General features: G+C 36.8%; 1 protein-coding gene across 20 annotated transcripts in view, besides 1 other annotated feature; it reads right to left on the bottom strand.

Moving 5' to 3' along the window:
* Positions 1-17,236, bottom strand: part of TANC2 (tetratricopeptide repeat, ankyrin repeat and coiled-coil containing 2) — a 461,469-nt gene that overhangs the window by 365,945 nt on the left and 78,288 nt on the right. For 4 of the 20 annotated variants that reach the window (XM_011524599.2, XM_017024429.2, XM_047435735.1 and 1 more), the window contains exon 2: positions 11,972-12,036. The exons of the other annotated variants lie outside the window; for them this stretch is intronic. In XM_011524599.2, coding sequence (XP_011522901.1) covers positions 11,972-11,990 — 19 coding nt within the window. In that variant the 5' untranslated portion in view covers positions 11,991-12,036. The remainder of the gene's footprint in view (positions 1-11,971; positions 12,037-17,236) is intronic. 20 annotated transcript variants of the gene reach the window in all.
* Positions 16,302-16,803: an enhancer, noted in NCBI's record as "NANOG hESC enhancer chr17:61122317-61122818 (GRCh37/hg19 assembly coordinates)". NCBI's record gives its function as "activates a minimal SCP1, AML or CMV promoter by ChIP-STARR-seq in naive H9 embryonic stem cells {active_cell/tissue: H9 hESC(naive)}" and the evidence as "EXISTENCE:reporter gene assay evidence [ECO:0000049][PMID:30033119]".

The following is a 17,236-nucleotide window of genomic DNA, read 5'->3' as shown; positions in this document are numbered from 1 at the left end:
GCAAAGATGGTCCAGCATAAGGATAAATAGGAATCTCTAAAGAAAACCAGAGAGAACAGAAAAACTGTAATTCAAGATCCCTTTTCAGAAAAAAAAACCCTGCATGTATATGTATGTTTTATATATGTATATATACATCTAGTTATATATGTATTTATGTTAATATGCATATATGCATACATAGACATATATACATGGAAGGATAAACACACACACACACATACTTGAAACTATGTATTTCAAGAGTACCCTGTATACTTGACATTATCAACTTAGATCAATGCACTAAATTCTACTAAAATTACTGGATTTAAAAAGGGGGGGATCATTTGAGTATTTAAGCAAAACTATCATGTAATCTTTTTGTTTGTTTTTTGTTTTTTTGTTCTTTGAGACAGAGTTTCGCTCTTGTCACCCAGGCTGGAGAGCAATGGCGTGATCTCGGCTCACTGCAACTTCCACCTCCTGGATTCAAGCAACTCTCCTGCCTCACCCTCCCCAGTAACTGGGATTACAGGTGCCAGCCACCACGCCCGGCTAATTTTTGTATTTTTAGTAGAGACGAGGTTTCACCATGTTGGTCAGGCTGGTCTCGAACTCCTGACCTCAGGTGATCCGCCCACCTCGGCCTCCCAAAGTGCTGGGATTACAGGCATGAGCCACCGTGCCTGGCCATAATCTTTAAAATTTTAATTAAATTTGTTTATTTTGAGACAGGGTCTTGCTACACTGCCCACCCTGGTCTCAAACTCCTGGGCTCAAAAAGAGCCTCCACCTCCTGCCTCCACCTCCCAAGTAGCTGGGACTGTAGGCACACATCAAACCTCATTTCCAAAACATGATTTATAAAGAAAAAGAAACAGAATAAAATGGAAAAAGATATTTAAAATACACAAAGAATCTGAGCTAAAGATTTTACATTCAGTAAAACTTACCTTTAAGTATAAGGGGTAAAGACAAACTGCTATCAACATGTAAAAACTCAGTGAATACTGTTATTAGTTCTTCCTAGTTCCATTAGAAAAAGAACTTTAAGCCAACAAAATAACTAGAAAGATATCAAAATAAGCACTAGTGGTGAGATTAAATATGCAGTTGTTTCCAGAATTAAGATTAAATGAGGACTTGTTTTTTTTTTGAGACAGAGTTTCGCTCTTATCTCCCAGGTTGGAGTGCAGTGGTGCGATCTCAGCATACTGCAACCTCTGCCTCCTGGTGCAAGTGATTCTCCTGCCTCAGCCTCCTGAGTAGCTGGGATTACAGGCGCCCACCACCATGCCCAGCTAATTTTTGTATTTCTGGTATAGACGGGGTTTCACCATGTTGGCCAGGTTGGTCTCGAACTCCTGACCTCAGGTGATCTGCCTGCCTCAGCCTCCCAAAGTGCTGGGATTACAGGCGTGGGCCACCACGCCCAGCCCAAACGAGGACTTTTAAAGAGAGAGATTGTAGTATGTAATCACTACATGATCTGACAATACATGTACAGTACAACCATAAGTGAATGGGGAAGAATAGAGACAGCATGAACAACAACAAAAATTAACTGATTTCAATAATTGGTGGTGGTAATATTCTCAGACCACTCTCTATATAAGGAGGGATAAAGCAAGCGAGTAATTATGGGACACACTATTTCTATCTTCCCTTACGAACCAGATTTCTCAGTGTGGAAGAAAGGAGCTATGAAGGTAGTACAGAAGTACAGTAAAAATTCTGTAATACTGAATCTATATTGGAAACATCAATACAATCTTATAAATCACAGGTATATCCTAACTCTATCCACTGAAAACGCCTAGAAACAGACTGATCCAGTAGCAGTGGACATGTCTAGTGCCCAGGTTGTGATCTTGAAATGCCATTCTCCATTAAAAGAAACCCGGACTTCTTAAAGAACTAGCTGGTCTGAAAAGGAAATGTACTAAATGAACCTGGAACATCTGACATCCCCAATAGTAAGGAAACTATCAAGACTATTCTCAATTATGGTCATGTCAAAAAGGTTAGTGAAGAGGGTCTCACTGGCCAGGAGATCATAAAATGTTTAAAGAAAACAAAAAAACAAAACAAAACACTAACTGGCCACATTCTGAGGTTGACAAGAAACCAATTATCTTGAAAACTGGGAAAATGAAAAAAAAAAATCAAGCTTTGATGCTGCCTTACCTATATTACTAATAGCCAAAGGATACATAAGAGGAATCTCCCTAAAAATTATTTTGGATAATAAGTGGGACACAAAAGATGGAATTAGAATATCACCATTCTGCAACTTGCAATGAATTAATAGCTGTATAGGCACTGGGGCTCAGTGCCTAAAAACATCAAAAGAGAGTAAAAACAAGTGATGATAGGAACACAACTACAGCTTTGCCAAAGCTACCAAACCTGAATCTGGTCAAACTTCTGAATATAGCTGTCAATTTTCAGGAAAAACAAAGTACAGAAGAAAATGTTTAATTGTTCCTGAGTGCATATTCAACAAAATCCAGCTACTGATTTTCAAGAAAAGCAAAGGGAAAATGTTAAGTTGTGTCTGAGTACACAAACAACATAATTCAGACTGAAGGAAATTCTACAGGTCCAATGACCCAGATCTCTTAACAGATTTTAAAAAAAACATAAAAAAATTAATTCCCAAAGAAATCAAAGAGATGATACAAACAAAGGAAAAACACCCCGGGCTCATGGATCAGAAGAATCAATATCATTAAAATGGCTATACTGCCCAAAGCAATTTACAGGTTCAATGCTATTCCTATCAAACTACCAATGACATTCTTCACAGAACTGGAAAAAAACTATTTAAAAATTGATATGAAACCCAAAAAGAGCCCAAATAGCCAAGGCAAATCCTAAGCAAAAATATCAAAGATGGAGGCATCATATTACCTGACTTCAAACTATACTACAGGGCTACAGTAATCAAAACAGCATGCAAAAACAGTAACAAAAACTGATACAAAAACAGACACATAGACCAATAGATGAGAATAGAGAACCCAGAAATAAGGCCACACATCTACAACCATCTGACGTTCAACAAAGCTGACAAAAACAAACAATGGGGAAAGGACGTCCTATTCAATAATTGGTGCTGAGATAAGTGGCTAGCCATATGCAGAAGACTGAAACTGGACCCCTTCCTTACACCATATACAAAAATCAATTCAAGATTGAGTAAAGACTCAAATGTAAAACCCGCAACTATAAAAACCCTAGAAGACAACCTAGGTAATCCCATTCTGGACATAGGAACTGGCAAAGATGTCATGGCAAAGACACCAAAAGCAACTGCCACAAAAGCAAAAATTGATAAATGAGATCTAATTAAACAAAAGAGCTTCTGGACAGCAAACGAAACTATCAACAGAGTAAATAGACAATCTAAATAATGGGAGAGAATTTTTGCAAACTATGCATCTGACAAAAGTCTAATAATCCGGCATGTATAAGAAACTTAAAAAACCAAACAACCCCATTAAAAAGTGGGCAAAGGACATGAATAGACATTTTACAAAAGAAAACATACCCATGTGGCCAACAAGCTTTTGGAAAAAAAAGCTCAATATCACATCATTAGAGAAATGCAAATCAAAACCACAATGAGATACCATCTCACACAGTCAGAATGCCTATTACTAAAAAAGTAAAAAAATGATAGATACTGGCAAATTGCGGAGAAAAGGTAATGCTTATACACTGTTGGTGGGAGTGTATTCAGTTCACTTATTGTGGAAAGCAGTGTGGCAATTCCTCAAAGAACTAAAAACAGAATTACTATTCAACCCAGCAATTCCACTACTGGGTATATACCCAAAAGAATACAAAACTGTTCTACCATAAGGACACATACACATGTATGTTCATTACAGCACTGTTCACAATAACAAAGACATGGAATCAATCTAAATGCCCATCAATGGCAGACTGGGTAACGAAAATGTGGTACTTCTATACCATGGAATACTATGCAGCCATAAAAAAGAACAAGATTATGTCCTTTGCAAGAACATGGATGGAGCTAGAGGCCATTATTCTTAGCAAACTAACACAGGAACAGAAAACCAAATACCACACATTCTCACTCATAAGTGGGAGCTAAATGATGAGAACACATGGAAACAAAGAGGGAAACAACAGACACTGGGGCCTACTTAAGGGTGAAGGGAGAGAGCAGAGAGAGGATCGAAAAAAAATATATCTATTAGCTACAAGGCCTAGTTCCTGGGTGATGAAATAATCTGTAAAACACACCCCCATGACACAAATTCACCTATAAATCAACCTGCACGTGTAAACCTAGACCTAAAATAAAAGTTTTTATAAAAAGAAAAAAATTATAAAGTCCTAAATTATTGTAGAATAAAGATTCACTTTAACAAAACAGAAATCTATGGCATCTTATATCAGAGGTATCAGGATGTGTAAATACAGTCTTAAGTCAATTTTCCTTCCTTGTGATCATTTAATTTAAGTATACTTCTTCTCTTTTACTTGGGAGTCAATTATAATAAACAACACTCCTATGCAGGTATGTCATAAATTTTCATTTTTCTTATTTTTCTATGTGGATAAAATGGCATATATGCATTGCATTCTCTGTTTTAACATCAAAACATGCCCTCAACTGGACATGATGGCATGTACCTGTAGTCCCAGCTACTCAAGATGCTGAGGCTGGAGGATCACTTCAGACCAGGAGTTGGAGGCCAGCCTGGGCAACATAGTGAGCACAGTGAGACCTTGTCTCTTAAAAAAAAAAACAAAAAAATCCTTGCCTTTGAATTATGTCAGAAGTAACATCAATAAAACATAGACATTTCCCCTCACCAGGACTGTTCTCCTAAACAATAAAAGGGAAAAAATAAATACAAAACAAATCTTCCAATAATTTTAAATTTATGCAATCTGCAGAATGCCAGAGTTTCAACAAAACAATCCACAGGAGAAATACAGATAAGAAATGGCTTAAGAAATAGTTTCAAGTCAGCAAACCAATGATGTTAAGACAAAAAAAGTCACCAATTTTGACACAATCATAATCTAAAATGTTTTAATTGCCTTTTTTATTTATGAGACAGGGTTTCGCTCTGTCACCCAGGCTGGAGTACAGTGGCATGATCTCAACTCACTGCAACCTCCACCTCCTGGGCTCAAGTGATCCTCCCTCCTAAACCTCTGGAGTAGCTGGGACTACAGGTGCACACTACCTTGTCTAGCTAATTAAAAATTTTTTTGGTAGAGAACGGATCTTGCTACATTTCCAGGACTGGTCTCAAACTTCTGGGCTCAAGCCATCCTCCTGCCTTGGCCTCCCAAAGTGCTGGGATTACAGGTGTGAGTCACCACACCCAGCATCCTTAATTTTAAAAAATGAATCAGAAATACATTACAGTAAAATTTCAGTAAGTTTGAAAAATTCTCTAAGACTGAAACTTTAATTACATCTTACCCCAGTGGAAACTAATCATAAAAGTCGTCATTAGCTCTCAGGTAGAAGTAAATACAGATTTTTAAAAAAAATAATTAAAATCACCACTGCCCCAAGATGGTGTAGAAACTTTTTTTTTTTTTTTTTAACACAGAGTCTCACTCTGTCACTCAGGCTGGAGTGCATGGACACAATCATGGCTTACTATAACCTCGACCTCCTGGGTGGGCTCATGTGATCCTCCTACCTCAGCCTCCCAAGTTCCTGGGACTGTAGGTGGGAGCCACCACCCCTGGCATATATATATATATATATATATATATATATATATTTTTTTTTTTTTTTTTTTTTTTTTTGGTAGAGATGAGGTCTCACTACGTTGTACAAGTTGGTCTCAAACTCCTGAGCTCAAGTGATCCTCCCACCTTGGTCTCCCAGGCGTAAGCACTGCACCTGGCCTTAGAAACCTCTTTAAAAGTGGTTGTGGTATCCTCATAGAATCTAGGAATCCATTACTCAAAAAAGCAAGACTGCAATGATACACAGTACTTTAAAGTTTTTGCTTGTTTAACACTATTCCTTCATTACAGATAAGGCCTCCTTCACATAATATTTGCATCTATATTTATGGACAAAACAGAAGGCCTTCAGTTGTCAAAAAAAAAAAAAAAGTGAAGATGTTTGCATAATACTGATTACCCCAGAGTACAGGAAATAGAATAGAGTTATGTATGTACATGATGATAGAACTTACTCACATCAAACTTAAGTTAAAGACTTACTTCAAATATATCATAAACTTTACAAAGGACAACCCACTGATGTAAGAAGTGCAGAAATAAAAAAAAGATCTAGCTGCCCATCTCAATTGGGGTTTCCTAGATTTCAGATAAACATCAGAGAATACTGCTGTTTTTTTAATCAGCATACTGTTAAATCCAGCAATTATTTATAAATAATATAAAACAATATTATTTCAATACTGAGAAATACTGTTAATAGATTGTTCTCTTCCCATTATTTCAAAAGGGAAAATGTCATTAGAATTTACCTCACAGAGTAGACAGCTTTAAACTCAGCTATATTTAGGCACCAACATAGTCCTAGTAAAGAAATGTCATTTATGTAGGAATATTCCATATATAATGATTTCCTATGAAGGAATTTAAGTTAGAGAAAGTCTAATAAGAAAGTGAATAAATAAGTCCAAGAAAAATGTGTTATTTCCTGCAACTGGGTGACTATTCCTCTCAATCCAGGATCAAAACATGACGGTTGAAAAATAACTTAATCTAGCCGAAGCTCATCTTTAGTGTTCTCAGCTAAATGATCTGCTAGAATACTAGGTTTTATGAATTAAAATGTTGAAGGAGGTTGTCTTCAATACTCTAGAAACTAAAATACAGAACCCTAATAGGAGGGGTGGAGGTTATTAAAACCACAAGGAATACAATGGATACATATAGATTAAAGTTTTACTATTCAGGTATGAACTCTGGTCCCTTTTACTAATCAGATACAAATCTGCAAGAACTGGATACACTTAATGCCAATAAGAGCACACATGAGTTAGAGGACATGAATGAAATATAAAGAAAATACAAAAGGAAGGAGCAGGAACATAAACTAAAGACCACTTATGGCCGGGCACGGTGGCTCACGCCTGTAATCCCAGCACTTTGGGAGGCCAAGGCTGGGGGATCAAAAGGTCAGGAGATTGAGACCATCCTGGCCAACATGGTAAAACTCCATTTCTACTAAAAAAAAAAAAAAAATACAAAAATTAGCTGGGCATGGTGGCACATGCCTGTAATCTCAGCTACTCGGGAGGCTGAGGCAAGAGAATTGCTTGAACCAGGGAGTCAGAGGTTGCAGTGAGCCGAGATCGCGCCACTATACTCCAGCCTGGCAACAGAGCGAGACTCCATCTCAAAAGAAAAAAACAAAAACAACATTTATGAGCCAAAGGCTACGTATGAAAAAGTATATGCTTAAAATATTCCATGGCTACATAAGCACTCTGATAAACAGAAGAAATGAAGAGCAGCTCTTCTATTTGGGGTAGAAAAGAGAAAAGGAGCTAGACTTGGTTTAGGCATTTCTGCTGGATATAGTACTAGTAAAATCTTTATAACATTATCTCATTTAGTACTAATAATAATTCAATGAAACAAGTAGTACTACCATTTTAAATGTAAGACAGATTCAGAGATGTAAAGTGACTTTCCCAATATCACACCACTAGTAAGTAGCAATACTAAAATCAAAATTGTCTGGCTTTAAAACTGTGTTCTTTTTCAAGGCTCTCTACTGCTGAAGGGGAAGAGAGCAGAAGTAGACAAAGCAGAGAGACCAATTAAGAGGCTACTGCAAAAATTCAGAATAAGAATGAACACTTGGACTAAGTGGTTAGTGGAGGTAGTGAGAAGAGGTTGGATTCTGGATATATTCTGAAGATATGGCAAAGAGAATCTGCTGTCAGAAGAGTAAGATAAAGAAATTGAGGACAATTCTAATATGTTGGGCCTAAAAAATGGACTTGCAACTTACTAAGACAGGAAAGACTGCAAAAGAACTGATTTGGGGATGAGGAGACTATGCGGAGTTCAGTTTTGGAAATACTAAGTTTCAAATGCTTATTAGACAAATAGGCATAGAAATATAGATATGCCATCGGCACACAAATCATTAGTAAATAAATCCCATTTAAACTATGAAACTGCATGAGATCCCCAAGGAAAGAGTATATACAAGAATGAGACACAAAAAGAGAGAAAAGAGGTCAGAGGACTAAGACTTGGTGTGGAATCGAACATGTAGAGGCTGAAAGCCTGGGGAGAATACTGTGAGAATAGGAACAAGACAAGGAGAGTATAGAAACAAAGAAGGGGTTTTATGGAGTGGAAAAGATCAAATATTAAATATTGATAGGTCAAGTAATATGAAGATTGAGAATTGATCACTGCATTCAGCCAGTGTAAATGGTTTAGCATGGTCTCTCTCTGTGGAGTGGCAGGGGTGAAACCCGATGGGATTAAGTTCAATAGAGATTAGAAAGAACTTCCGGAAAAGGTTTTATCTCTCACTAGACATGGACAAAGACGGTAGGTCCCTGGATATGCTGGCTGCCATCTTGTAAACACAGAAGGGAATAAACCATGAGATATAAATTAACACTTTCAAAGATTATATGAAGAGATGGAACATAACAAGGATGTTGTTGACACTGAATTACTGAAGAAAACTACCCTATCTCTGGACTAGAGTTATACAATCTAATAAATTATCTTCATCATAAAAACCAGAGGTCAGCACACTCTTGCGAGCCAAATCTGGCCTGCCACCTATTTTTGCACAGCCGGAGAGCTCAGAATAGTTTATACATTTTTAAATGACTGCAAATAACTAAAACAATATTTTGTGACTCAAAAAATATTTGAAATTCAAGTTTTAGTGTTCACAAATAAAGTTTTATTAGTACACAGTCATAACAGCAAATAAATTATTTACTGTATTTGTGTTGCAATGGCAGAGTTCAGTAGTTGTAACAAAGATGGGATTAAGTTCAAGTGATTAGAAAGAAATTCTGGAAAAGATTATGTATCTCCCTAAACATGGGAAAAGATCAATGGAGCCCCTGAATATGCTGGCTGCTATCTTATAAACCAAGAGGGAATAAACCATAGGATATAAGTTAACACTTACTACCTGGTACTTTACAGAAAAAGTTTGCTAACCCCTTATATCAAGCTATTCTGATTCAAATTTTCTGTTACTTGCAACCATAAAAATCCTAAATAATATACTCCCCTATACTATGGTAGCACCAAACTACTCAATGACATTCAAAAAGCAAACATATTATAAGGCCGCTATCAATTTATGCTCTCTCCTCTGCATAAAATGTAGCTCCCTCCACTTGACTGTATAATGAAATTATAGCCAATATGTACGTGCTGGGTGTCTAGCAGAGTTGAGCTGGACTCAATCTTTGAACTATTACAATTTATATGACTTTAGGAAAATTAATTATCTGTATCTTAGTTTCCTTATCTGTGAAATTGTTATCATAATGCTCTATGTGGTTGTGAGAAACAAATGTAGTAACATTCACAAAATATACGACGACATCTGGCACAAAGTAAGCACATACTAAACAAATGGAATCTTCATCTATCATATTCATGATCAACAACAAGTTCCTTTTACTGAAAGATGTCATTCCTCTTCCTACATAGACTTTCTGGATGCCTACCAGAAAGAACTTCTCTCTTCTGTGCTTCTTCAGCACGTTATTCATACAACAGTCCCGCCTTATCTGCAGGATGTGCACTATGTTTTTTCCTCACCTTACGACAGGGTTATGTCTTGATAAACCCATTGTAAGTAGAAGATATCATAAGCTGAAAATACATATAATACAACTAACCTACAGAACATATAGCTTAACCTACTCTACCTTAAATGTACTCATAATACTGACATTAGCCTACAGTTGGGCAAAATCACCTAACACAAATTTTTTAAAACTATAACACTATCTTCTAATAAAGTGTTGACTGTTTCATGTAATTCACTAAAGACTGTACTGAGAGTGAAAGAATATGGTTGTATGGGTACTCAAAGTACAGTTTCTACTATACATGCATCACTTTCACACAATCATAGTTGGAAGATCATTTAAATTCAACCATCCTAAGTCAGGAACCATTTATACATACATAGCTATAATAAAGTTTAATTTATGAATATTTGACTGATCCATGGATTCCTGGATCAGTCTATATGCAGCCAAAAGTGAGATCCACATGTATCCCCCTCAACATACAGTTTCAACAGATAATACCAGAGATAAATAAACAAATTAACTAAATAAATCATTTTCCTAAGACTCTAAAAGCTAGAACAGCCTCTGCCTTCTTCATATTAACCTACACCTCAGGGAAGCCACAGCTTCTCAAGTATGAGCTAGGGTTTTCAGGAACAGTACCAGATTTTATTTGCAAAGACACAAATGAAAGAAAAGGTCACTTAGAGAAATCTAAAGAGTTCAATGTAACTAGAACACAGAAAGTATGGGTAAGAAGCAGGATATGAAACTAGAAAAGTAGGCTGAGGCATAATCATAAAAAGCATAATCACAAAAGGCATAAATATTATTCATGATGATCAATTTGAACTTTATGCTATAAATGTAGGGAAGAAAATGATGGGCATTATGCAAAGGAGTGGCATGATCTGACAGGTGTTTTCAAAAGATAACCTTGGCAACTATATATTTAAGTCAATGGTGTGGACCATGGCCTAAAAGTAAAGAGATCACTGCCATAAGCTCAGAGGAAAGGAAAGCCTAAATAAATGCACTAACATTGAGACTATGAAGAAAAGGGTAGGCTTGTGAAATATTTAGGACACAGAATTGCAAAGACTGTACTCATTTGAAAGAGTCATTTTAATCGCTGCCATCAATTTATTTTTCCTTTCTTCCTTAAATCCACTCCCATAAGACTTTTGTCCCTATCATTCCAGATAATCCACAATTACCAAAATCTCTTATAAAGTCCATTGTTAAGTCCAACAGTCAGTTCTCAGTTTTATTTTTTGATTTATCAACATTTGATGCAGTTAATGTTTCTTTCTTGAAGTCTTCTCTTCACTTGATATCCAAGATGTCACACTTGCCTGGTTTTGCTCCTGTCTCTAGGGCTCCTTCTGTCTCCTTGGCTTATTGTTTCTCATCTCCCCAGTCTCTACATGATAGACTGCCCCAGGGCTCACTTTTTAATCTGTATTATTTGCCATATATATTCCATTGGTTAGCTCAAATAGACTCATGGTTTTATGTTTTATCATGCTGATGGTTCCCAAATTTATATCTCTAACCTGGACCTCATCCATGAAGTTCATATTTATGGAGTTGCCTACCCTATATTTCCACTTTCTTTCTTTTTTTTTTTTTTTTCTTGAAACAGGGTCTTGCTCTGTTGCCCAGGCTGAAGTGCTGGGGCATGATCACGGCTCACTGAAGCCTCAATTTTCCAGGCTCAAGAGATCTATCCACCTCAGCCTCCTGAGTAGGCGTGCACCACCAGGCCTGGCTAATTTTTATTTTGGAGGTTATGCTTAAGGCCCCTTTAAGATGGGGTCTTGTTATGTTACACAGGCTGGTCTCAAACTCCTGGGCTGAAGTGGTCCACACAACTCAGCCTCCCCAAGTGCTAGGATTACATGTGTGAGCCACTGTGCCCAGCCTCATTTCCACTTTTATATCACACAGGTATCTCAAAATTTAACATGTCCTAATAGTCCTCCAGGAACCTGCTCCTCTCACAGTCTTCCTCATCTCTGTAAACAGCAACTCCTTTCTTTTGGTTGTATAAGCCAAAAACCGTGGAGTCATCCTTAAGTCCTCTTTTTCTCTCCCACTGCACATACAATCCAACAGTAAATGCTGTCAGCTATTCATGATATACCCAAACTACTTCTCACCCTCTGCTACCACCACCCTGAGTCCCAGCCACCCTCATGACTAACCTGGTTTCTCTGCTTCCATCCCAGCCCAGCTTCAATCTATTCTCAATACTGCAACCAGAATGGTTCTGTTAAAACACAAAATAGATCATTAAACTCTTCTCCTCAAAACCCTCCAAAGGTTTCTCATTGTAAGTAAAAGTCAAAGTCTTTAGATCAAAGCTCTACATTACCTGGCCCCTATTACCTCTCTGACCTCATCTCCTACCACTCTTGCTCTCTGACTTTTCTGAAGCATGCTGGCTCTCCTCATTGTACTTTAAACACTCTAAGAATATACTCATATCAAGGCCTCTGCCTGAAATACTTCTCTCCCAGATGTCCGCATGGCTTGTCCTGCATCTCCTTTGGGTAGATACATAACTGTCCCCCCAATCATGCCTTCCCTCATCACTCTAAAATGGTACCCCACCACCACCATATTCACACAGATACACATTTTTTACTTCTTCCTTGCTTTATTTTTCTACCTAGTACTTATCACTAATATATTCTATGTTTTACCTATTCATCTTAATTCTGGTCATCTTCACCCACTAGAATATAAATTCCATGAGGACAAATAATTTTATATTCAATGCTTTATTAGCCATGCCTAGAATAGTATCTGACACATAGAAGGTACTCAAAAAATAGCTGTTGAATTAATTAATTTGCATAAGTAAAACAAGAGAAAGAAGGGAATTCTGGATGCCTCAGAATTCTTTGGGAATTTGGGAATTTCACTTGCTTGATTATAATACCATTAAGAGAACAGAAGATGGAGGGTTGGGAAGGAGAAATAATATTCCGTTTTACTAAGGGCTAAATTTAAAATCTGACTTACTCTCCTTATCTTTTATTTTAGGTTTAGATGTACCTGTGAGGTTTGCTACACAGGTAAACTTGTATCACAGGGGTTTCCTGTACAGATTATTTCATCATGCAGGAACCAAGGCTAGTACTCAATAGTTATTTTTTCTGATCCTCTCCCTCCTCCCACCCTTCACCCTCAAGTAGGCCCTAGTGTCTGTCTGTTGTTCCCCTCTTTGTCTCCATGTGTACTCATCATTTATTTCCCATTTATAAGAGAGAACATGTAGTACTTGGTTTTCTGTTCCTGCATCAGTTTGCTGAGGATAATGGCCTCCAGCTCCAACGGAGCAAAATATAGAGCCCAGAAATAAGGCCGCACACATACAACCATCTGATCTTCAACAAAGCTTACAAAAACAAGCAATGGTGAAAGGACTCCCTATTCAACAAATGGTACTGGGATAACTGGCTAGCCGTATGAAGAAGACTGAAACTGGATCCCTTCCTTACACCATATACAAAAATCAAATCAAGATGGATTAAAGACTTAAATGTATAACTACCCTACTTAGCACCTCATTAATTCCAGGTCTAGAGCTAGATGGAGGGAAACATGAACAGTCAGAAGTGAAATTGTCTAACCCTTTTTGTTTTTCCAAAAAACAAATAAGGTGTTCTCAAACTGGAGTTCTGCAATAATTCTCAATACTCAACCCAAATATTTATGTTTTACTTGATGGAGTTCAGGACATGATACCTCAAAATATGGTACCTTGGCATTTAACAGAACAGAAGCAGAAAGATCACTCTCATCCTCCCCTCACACTTCTTCCTAAAGCAGACTCCTAAAACCTAGAAAGGATTTTTTAATCTTCTCCTAAAGCAGGTCATAAGACCCTCATTCAAGAGGTGTCCTACCTATACCTGGGGTAAAGAAACGCCTTTATCTCTGAAGACAGAGGGATACAGAAAAGAATCCTGATAAAAAGTCTTGCTAAGGACTCCCACACCCCAACCCCAGTTTACTACCATAAAATTCCACTTTTTTATCCAATCACACTTCTTCACAGCTATCCACTTATTCATCAAATCTAACATTAAAAATACACAGATTTACCCGTTTCTTCAGGTCTTCATTTCCTTATGAAGGCTTCAGTTGCCACATAAAATTCATTAAGTAAATTTGTATGCTTTTTTTATTGTTAACAAATCTGTCTTTTGTTTTAGGGGTCTCCGTCATGAACCTAGTGATGAATGAAGAAAAGATATTTTTCTTCCTCTACATACTTTTAAATCCATTATTCTACTAGGGAGCCCCTATTCATTTATTTGTATATAAATTGGAAAAGTCTGTCTATATAACAACTGCCTTTTTGAAATACCCACTTGGATGTCTCAAATATACCTCAAACTCAAAGTATCGAAACATGAAATTCTAAACTTCCTTTCATCCCTTCAAACCTGATACTCTCCAACAGAGCTCCCCATCTCAATGAATTCATCATCAAATATTACTGATTTTCTCTCCTAAATGTCTCTTGAATCCATCCACTTGTCTCCATCTCCAACCTGCATCCACTCCTATATCCATTCTCTTCTCAACATATATCCACAAATAACTGAGTAATCATTTAGAAATGCAAATCTAACAGTTACCTCACTTTATACTTAGAATGTTTAAATGTTCTCCCGTCAGAAGATATAAAATTGAACACGATCTATAAGGTTCTACTTTTCCAGCTTCATTTCTAATTGGATCTACTTTTGTTTTTCTAATATTGGCTTTCTTTCAGTTTCTGATCTCTACCTTCAGATGTCTAAAGCAGACACCTGAAAAACAACTACTGTATACCTAAGGAGTGGGGATAAAACAGTTTTCACCTAAAATCCCTGCCTTCGTATATGAAGATATAAAAATTTCAAAAGATATTAGTAATAGGCTATTTTTATGTCACATGGTTCACAAGAAACCTCTTACTCCCTATATAGAGAGACAGCTACTGATAGACTAAAAATCAGATCTCCCCCTCTCCATTTCACTTCCAAGAAAAAAACACAACCTCTTTCTGTTTTGACTGATAAGTAAATTCAAATATATAGACACTCACTGGAAAATCAAAGTAATACAAAGTCAAATAATCATATATTATGTAAATATTCCTCAAATTTGTTTTTTCAAATAAATTATACTTTATTCATCCCATTATGCCTAAATAATATTTTGTCTTTACTGGTTATGCATAAATGTTTTTTAAAGTACTTAGCATAATACCATGCACTTGTGGGTACTTAATCTGTACTATATTACTTGATTATAATAATAATGGCAATGAAACTAGAAATTTGAGATTAAAATATGTTAAAGAATTTATTAAAGGCCGGGTGTGGTGGCTCCCAGCACTTTGGGAGGCCAAGGCAGGTGGATCACCTGAGGTCAGAAGTTCGAGACCAGCCTGGCCAACACGGTGAAACCCTGTCTCTACTAAAAATACAAAAATTAGCCAAGCATTGTGGTGGGCGCCTGTAATCTCAGCTACTCGGGAGGCTGCAGCAGGAGAATCACTTGAATCCGGGAGGTGGAGGATGCAGTGACCGAGATGGCGCCACTGCACTCCAGCCTGGGCAACAAGAGTGAAACTCCATCTCAAAAAAAAAAAAAAAAAAAAAAAAGAGCTGGGTGTGGTGGCACGCACCTGTAGTCCCAGCTACTTAGAAGGCTGAGGCAGGAGAATCGCTTAAACCCAGGAGGCGGAGGTTGCAGTGAGCCGAGATCGCACCACTGCACTCCAGCCTGGGCAACAGAGTGAGACTCTGTCTCAAAAAAAAAAAGAATTTAATAAAGATAACAGTATGACCTTTGTATATGCAATATACAAAATTTAACAACAATATTCCTTTCCCTAAACTTATCATTAGTAAAGTTCTTGAGTGTTACATTTTGTATTTTTCTCCCAAGGAACTAGGAAAAGTGAATACAATGATTAAGTAGTTGGATAATGAGAATCATTATGACCAAATAGAATATAGAAATATTTAATCAAAGAATAAAGAGAGAAGCCAGGCATGATGGTGTGTGCCTACAGTCCCAGCTACTTGGAAGGCTAATGTGGGAAGATCACTTGAGCCCAGGAGTTCAAGACCAGCCTAGGCAATATAGTGAGACACCCATCTCTACTTTTTAAAAATAATTTTTTTAAATAAAAAGAATATGGAAAGAACTGAATAAAAGAACCCAGAAAAGACTCATATGCAAATATAACAGATTCTTAGTACATGAGAAAGCTGGGATGATAAATCACTGGATGTAAGAAAAGGGTATTCAACAACAAATATGGTGGGGAAAATTGGCTTTCTCCACATGAGAAAAAAAGATTAGACCCTTTTCTCATACCATAATCCCCTTACCAAAACAATAAGAAAAAAGGAAAAAAATCCAAATGTATTAAAAATATCGAAGTGAAAAACAAAACTTCAAAACTATTTCAAATATAGAAGAATATATTTGTAGTCTCTGAGTAAAGAAAGATTCCTGAAATAACACGTAGTATAAAAAAGAATGATAGATTTGAATAAATTGAAATTTTAAACTTCTATTTAACAGAAGTTTGGAGTTTCCGTCCTAAAACCAAAGGGAACGTTTTAAGACAGTGTACAGACTGACAGAAGATACCTGTTATAAATGTCACAGGCTAAGGATCAATCTAAAACATGGGTCTGCAAACTTTTTCTATAAAGAAAGTAAATATTTTAGGCTTTGCAGAGCATATGCTCCCTGTCACGACTACTCAACTCTGCCATTGTGGTGCAAAAGCAGGCACAGACAATATGTAAATAAATGAGTGCGTCTGTATCTCACTAAAACTATTCAAGAACACTGAGATTTGAATTTTTTGTAATGTTGATAGGTTGCAACATTTTATTCTCCTTTAATTTTTTTTCGGAATGATTGGAAAATAAATGGGAAAACCATCCTTAGCTCACAGGCCACACAGGCTGGATTTGGCCCATGGGCTACAGTTTGCTGAACCTGCCCAGAATCCATAAAGAATTCCTATAAATCAATAAGAAAAAGACAAATAATCCAACAGAAAAATGCATAAAGGATATAAAGAGGTTATTAACAAATGAGGAACTCTAAAGGCCTATAAAACATATGAAAAGATGTTCAACCTCACTATAAATTAAGGAAACAAATTAAATCACTAGGACATTACCTTTCTCCTACCAGACTGAGAAAAAGGAAGAAATCTGACCATATGACTACTGGATAGGAAAAAGAAAAAACTCTCAGACACTTCTAAGAATATAAATTGGTAAAGTGACAAAGTAATGAAATCATGTAGTAAAAGTGATAATGCAAATAACCTACATTTGCAAGTCCATTTCTAGGTATAGTTCCTAGAAAAACTAATGTGTGGGTAAGGATATTCACTGGAACATTATTTATGATCACACACACAAAAAAGACCAGAA

The sequence above is a fragment of the Homo sapiens genome, chromosome 17, assembly GCF_000001405.40.
Source record: "Homo sapiens chromosome 17, GRCh38.p14 Primary Assembly".
NCBI lineage: Eukaryota > Metazoa > Chordata > Mammalia > Primates > Hominidae > Homo > Homo sapiens.
This window is presented reverse-complemented; position numbering and strand designations above follow the sequence as displayed.